Here is a 6,793-nt window from a genome sequence, read left to right as displayed (position 1 = left end):
GGGGCGTGTGCATCAAGAGGGAAGCAGAGTTCATGGCAAGCTTGCCTTCTTACCCACAGCCCCTATCCCTGAGACTTGAGCTAGAAGTGAATAAGGACCCCCGAGCCTCAAGTGTCAAGGACACACACAAAAATAATAGAACCTGCTTGGCTTCTGCTCCTCTTCATGGGAAGCTGCATCTCCGAGACAGGGTAGGTGAGGACTAAGACGATGACAAGAAGGAGGAGGGGGCTGAACTTCACCCACTGAAATTCAGGACCACAAACTATTAATAAAAACTCTCAAGCCCCTTTGAGAGCCAAAGCTCTCAGATGTCTGAAGTCTGTGACCTTTTGAGCCTCTGGAAGACTCTAGGTAGACAGGCAAGGCGGTCTCCTATGCAGTATTGCCTCAGACCCCAGAACATCAGCTTGGCATCTAGGCAGACCTAGACTACAGGAGAGGCCACTACAGGGCGTCTGCTTGGCCATGCTCAGCCTTGGACCTCCCATGCCATGGGCCACCAACGGAGCTCTCCTCTCTCTTCCTACCAGTGAGTCTTCCCTGAGTCTGAGAGCCATACACATCACCTCAGTCACCACTGACTGAGCCCCTACTGTGTGCCAGGCCCTGTGCAAGTTGCTGGGGATACAGAGAATCTGTGGAGAGACAGACATGTCCCTCAGCTTTGTAGTCAATACCATCATGGAGGCGTGAATAAGGGCTCCCAGAGCACAGCAGAACTCCTGGTAGAGGCAACTCTTGAACCGGGTCTTCAGTGATAGTAGAAGACTGCCAGGCACACAATGGGTAAGGGACATGCCAGGCAGAGGGAACAGTACATGCAGACACAGAGGCGAGAAAGCAGGGTGTGTGTGGGAAGCATATGTGATTTCTGTGACCCCACCGCAGGGGTGCAGGGGTGGTGGCCGCAAAGAGGCCAGAGAAGGAGGAAGGCAGGACCTGCCCCACCTGGTTAAGGGGCTAAGGCGTCAGGACTTGACCTAGGCCTGACAAGGAGGTAGGAAAGTTGCTCTACCGGAGAGTGGTCCAACCAGAGTTGCACTTGAGAAAGGCCACTGAGATCCAGAGTTGAGGACGGGGTGGAGTAGAGCAAGGCATAGGAGACGAGGACAGGTGGAAGGCAGGTGCGAGGCAGGTGGGAGGCAGGTGGGAGGCAGGTGGGAGGACAGGTGGGAGGCAGGTGGGAGGAGAGGTGGGAGGCAGGTGGGAGGCAGGCGGGAGGACAGGTGGGAGGCAGGTGGGAGGAGAGGTGGGAGGACAGGTGGGAGGACAGGTGGGAGGCAGGTGGGAGGCAGGTGGGAGGCTCTTGCCACAGACCAGGCAAAAACACAGAGGGTACAGGTCAAGGCGGCGGCAGCAATAAGGGGAATAGAAAGCAAAAGACCTATTGGAGAGATTTTTAAGGGGTAAGAACGACAGGGTTTCATCACCATTTGGCCATGGGGTTGAGGGAGAGGGAGGAATCTAGACTGACTCTCAGATTTCTGGCATAGGCGAATGGGTGAAAGGTGATAGGGATAGGTCACAGAGAAGTCGGGGAAAGGTGGAGTCTGAGGCACAGGAAGGGCAGGTGGATATGCCAATAGGTAGTTGCAAATGTGAGTTAGGAGAGAGATTCAGGTGGGAGATAAAAATATGGAGGCATCAACATGCAACTGGGAGTTTGCGGCCATGGGCAAGGACAAGGCACCCGGTGGATGTCAGAACGGGCGTCAGGCGGAGCACCCACCTCCACCCCAACTGTGCTACAGGCAGCCGCAGAGAACCAGGAAGAGCCTAAGGATGCCCTACTCTGTCATGCTGCAGGAAGGAACTAAGACTTGGATCCCTGGTATTTCTTGGGCCAGGACAGCACCAGAGGGATGCTCCCACCAGCAGTTCACTCTTCTGAAATAACCCCTTGGGGTTATCATCCTTTATCACCTGGGGCTTAAGTAAGACCTGGGTCAGAGAACTAGTGGCCCAAAAGGCTGCAGAAGGGCCAGACTCTGCCTGCTGTCAGGCCAGGGGCTGGGCCCGAGTGGAGAGGGCGGAGGCCACTAAGCAGCCATGTGAGGCAGCCACAAGGACATGGGCAAGGCAGGCAGACATCCCCTGGGTCTGAGCCTTGGCTAGCAGGAAAGGGTCAGCCTGGGAACAGTCTCCAGATCCCTTTGGTACAAACAGCAGGGTTGCCTGCCTTCTCCCTGGGGCCGCCCAGCAGGGAGCCCATGTGCACAGGCAAAATGTTCCAAGTTGTGGGGCGGGGTTGGCAGCACCCCTGCAAGGCACTGGGCATCTGCCCAGGTGTCCATAGCATTCCCTGAATCTTCTGTACTTTTCCAGGGGGTGCTGAAGGAAGGGAGGCGTGGGAACCATCTGCCCCCAGCTTACTTTCCAGGTGATCTGGCATCCTGGGGACTTACCTGGTCAGGCCCCCAAGATCACCAGCCCTGCCCACCTCACTTCAGCTCTGTGCAGAGACCCAAACAGCCCCTGAGGCCCCAGAGCCTCCACCACACCCACACAGGACCAGGCAGTCAGGAGGCGCCTCACAGAGCTTTTTTTTTTTTTCTGATTGTTTTATTTGAAAACCCTAGGATATGTCCCCTCCCTCACCACACCCAACCCCCCGCCCCTGCCCCAGGACATGACGATGCCTCACACACACACACACACACACATACACACAAGGCCGTGAGCTGCACGCAGGAACATGGGCTGCACTCACGACAACATTGAAAAAATATACATTATATATGTACACCCGGGGCCCCCACGTCCCCTCCCGTCCCCGCAGCCTGGCCACACCAGGTCACGGAGGAGGGGCCGGGGCTGCAGGACCTCAGGACTGCAAGGGCAGGAAGGGAAACAGGACAAGAAAGGAAGGAAGTTGGAAAGGAGGGAGAAATGGGGTCCCCAGACTGAAATGGAAATGAGGTGGGGCGATCATAAGAGAAGCAGGGACGATGGTCCAGCTGAGGGAGCCCTGCAGAGGGGGAAAAGCTTCCCATGGACAGGAGAGAGAAGGGAAGGGGAGAGGAGAGGGTTTCCTTCAATCCCACCCCCAGCCCCAGCCCCAGCCATTGCAATCGTCACCCTCTCCCCAACACAGTGAGTGCTAAGGGGGCAGCTGCCATTGGGGGTAGAAAGGCAGCTGAAGTCCAGCCCACTTTCCAACCCAGCCAGCCCCAGTGCAAGGGGCACACCAGGAGCATGACAGCCCAGAAGTGAGGGATGGGGGGCCGGGGGAGGGGCAGGGCGGACTCCAGAGGGCCCGCTGGGGTTTTGAAATGAAAGGAGGACTGGTTCTGAAGCCTCTCTCCCTCTTGGTCTCTGTGTTCCCAGAAAGTCCTTCTCCCATGTCTGGAGTGTCTGTTTCACCAGGGCAGAATTCCCCCTCTGCGTGGGGAGAGGTGTAGGCCTTAGTAGCGGTGTGGGGGGGTCTCGATGATGCGTCTCTCGTCGCTGCTGGGGGAATCGGCCACCTCCGAGTCACTGCTGTCCTCATCCTCCTGCTGGCCCCCAACAGCCCCCGTCACACAGGACTGCCGATTCTGGTAGGACTGGAGGGCAGGAACAGAGAGGAGAAGGGATCAATGGCCTGCACACATCCCAGCCTCTCTTTCAGGGACCACACTTCCCTCGGTCCCCTTAACCCCTGTGTACCCCCTTCCCTGCCTGAACCTCTCTCCCTCCGGCTCACTGCAGCTCTGCGAACAGCCTCCACCCAGGCCTGCCCCTCCTCAGGAGTCCTCACCGTGTGTGCTCCACAGTCTTGACCCTACAGAACCCCGCTTCCCCAGGCCTCTCACCTCCATGGGGTTCACAATGATGGTGAGAGCTGAGTCATCCCAGAAGAGGTCTGGGTCCTTGGGGTCACTGGAGGCCCCTGGAGGCCCGCCGGCCCCTGAGACGCGGCGGTGAAGGGAATGGATGCGCACCAGGCCCAGGACGACCATGAGCACCAGGAAGCCCACGCACACCACAATGATGAGGGTTGCGGCGCTGGGTATCACTGCAGAGAGAGCGCGGGGGTGAGCAGAGCGTGACTAGGCACACCTGGGGGCACTTGGACAGGGGGCTGGGTAGGAAAAGAGGCAGCCCGGGCTGAAGGACTCCCAGGGCAGAACACACGGTGGCCGAGAAGAGAGGAACACCTGGAGAAGCCAGAAGAGAAACAGCCCACCAGGAAGGGCAGGAGACGAAAGGGGAGGAAGGGAGCTGCTGCAAGGCAAAGGAACAAACACAGAGGGAGGCAGGTGTACAGAGAGGCAAGGGCAGAGGAGGAAAAAGACTCCCTGCCCAACACTGTCATGAACAGCCCTATTCGCAGAGGACAGAGGGCAAGGACTGGAATCTGCCCCTGTCATTCCACCTGTGCCTTCCCCAGAGACCACTCAGCCTAGGAAAGAGGTGCCAGTGCCCAGTGAGGGAGAGGAGGGGCCCCCACACGGGCTTGGCTGAGCAGGAGGAGATGCAGGCTCCAGGCCTGGGCTGGCTGCAGGAAGAGGGCACTAGCACCTGAGGCTGGGGACAAGTCCAAGGGGCACAGAGCAGCCCCTTCCCTTACCCACCTGGACTGAGCTCACTCCGTGACACCTCCCTTCTCCTGGTGGGCTTGGGGCTCCGGGACGTCTGGGGTTCCTGCTTCCCCAACATCTCCCCCTGAGGCATACCTGCCTCCCCCGTGGCTCTCCCATGCTTCTGGCCCTGCAGCCCCACTTTGATGCCCAGGCTCAGAGGGGCATGGACCTTCAAGGGCACTGAGACACAGAACGGTGCGTTCACTCTCACACGGACCTTAGAGCTGATGGCGGCAAAGCAGATGTGCATGCACAGGTACATGCTCAGGAAGACCGTGTGGGCACACAGCTGCACAAAGGTTGCCACGCCCCACACCCGAGCCAGGCCTTTGCCAGCCTGCATGCTGGCCCACACCAGCCACCTGGCCGCCTGCTCACACTGCGGGAGTAAAGGAACGCGTCTGGGGGTCTCCAGCAAGGCACGGTAGAGCCATATGTGCAGCATCACCCAGCTCCCCACCAGCTGGGCAGACCAGGCAACCCCCTGAAGGAAGACATAGACACTACAGACGTGGGCCGTGAGGGCCACAGAGCGAGCCGCCATGAGCACAGCCCTGCCTGCCTCCTGCACACACACACACAGCTCTCGAAGAAGCACAAGGAAGAAAAGCAGGAAAGCCCGCAGCCCCAGGGACAGCAGGTGGAGGCAGAGACCCCACACACGCACCTCCAGGCCCAGGGCCCTTACGGGCAGCTGGGTCACTACTCCCCACATGGGTGCACACCCCTGCCCACCATGCATACACAGCAGCTCCTCCCTGGGCGGTCCCGTTGCTGAGGGACTATTCCATGTATGTGTGCCCCAAACACACACAGAGACCAGCAGTCACACAAGCAAGCCCCTAGAAAAATACACACATCGCATTCCAGCCCCGTCCGCAAATTACCTACAGCCTGAGACTCATGTGTCAACAGACAGAGCAGAGCGTAGGGAAGCGCATGGCCCAGGAGCTCCTCACACTCACACCCACACCCTGCTGCAGCGCCCCTCTCCCCAGCAGCCAGCACACTCAGCTGCCACGCACTCCAGGGCCAACTAGGTGTGTGGAGAATGCCCTGCCTGGGCAGGCCACACACCTCCCTGAGGCCACCCTGATGGCTGTCTGCCAAGTTGGTCCCCATCCTGACCCACAGCCCACTTGAGGCCACCAGCCAATTAGAACGGACTCTGCTGGGGCACACTCCCTCGACACTGGTTCCAAGGTGAAGACAGGACTGGCTGGATCAGTATTTCTCAACTTCCTGGGAACGGGGGATAAGGGAGGAGGGGACAGAGCTGTCTCTCCTGCCCATCTGCAGGAAATAGTGTCTCTCAGGTCTCCACGTCAACAGACCAGAGCCAGGGGCAGTGCCTTCACTGGCAGATGGGCCCAGTGGCTAAGCCCAGGCTCCAGAAGGGGTGGTGACCCCACCCTCAGAGTGGAGGCCAAAGCAGGTGAACTTCCTCTAAGCACACAACGATGACGAGCTAAAGCTGGTTTGCGCCCTAATCAATGCAGTGTCCCTCCGAGCTCCTGGCCTAATGAAGGAAATGACAAGTTGATTGCCAGGACAATAAGAAATGACCACAGGAAAGACAAAATGCAGACACTCTATCTACAAGCAAACAAGTCTGGTTAATTAGTTTAAGATGAGTCAGGAGCCCGGGGAGATGGGAGGATTTTTAAATCAGCTACAGATAAAAATCAAGAATTTAAGAAGTGCGTTCAGCTTTTCTTGCTACATGAGATCTGAGCAGTTAATTCTGGCCTTGAATGACCTCCAGAGCCAACATTAAGGGGTGACTTAGCAAATGGTCCATGGGATTGCGAGGACAGTGGAAAGCCCTGTCCATGGCCCCACACGGTGCTCTCTTTGCAAAGAGCCTTGGGAGAGATTTCTTTCTGCCCCCCGCACTCCCAGGGCTTTTCATGAAATAGCGTTTGGCTCCTATCACGGCTCTCAGAACTGCTCAGGTTTCCTTTTGCTTTAGCTTTGAAGAAGCTCAGGGTCAAAATTCTGGCCCGTGGTAGCAACTGCATAGCATCTCATAGTACGCATGTTATGAGCTGACTTTATTCCCTGGCTTCATTGGATCCTTATTTCATCATTACCTGTTCCTCCTTACTTCCTCATTCATTTTCTTTTTGTCCTATTGCTTTGTAACTCTTTCTGCAAAGCTTCAGATACTTGTAGGAAACAAAAGAGGAAAATTATTCCCAAACTTTTAAAGATTACATGGGATT

General features: G+C 57.3%; 1 protein-coding gene across 4 annotated transcripts in view; it reads right to left on the bottom strand.

The window, feature by feature from the left end:
- Nucleotides 1-2,543: 2,543 nt before the first annotated feature.
- CLSTN3 (calsyntenin 3) overlaps nt 2,544-6,793 on the bottom strand; it is a 29,853-nt gene continuing 25,603 nt past the window's right edge. For all 4 annotated transcript variants that reach the window (XM_047429921.1, XM_047429919.1, XM_047429920.1 and 1 more), the window contains 2 exons: nt 3,798-4,000; nt 2,544-3,548 (listed from right to left, as the gene is read on the bottom strand). In XM_047429921.1, coding sequence (XP_047285877.1) covers nt 3,408-3,548; nt 3,798-4,000 — 344 coding nt within the window. In that variant the 3' untranslated portion in view covers nt 2,544-3,407. The remainder of the gene's footprint in view (nt 3,549-3,797; nt 4,001-6,793) is intronic.

The sequence above is a fragment of the Homo sapiens genome, chromosome 12, assembly GCF_000001405.40.
Source record: "Homo sapiens chromosome 12, GRCh38.p14 Primary Assembly".
Classification (NCBI taxonomy): Eukaryota; Metazoa; Chordata; class Mammalia; order Primates; family Hominidae; genus Homo; species Homo sapiens.
The sequence above is the reverse complement of the archived record's forward strand: the minus strand, read 5'-3'. Positions and strand labels throughout refer to the sequence as shown.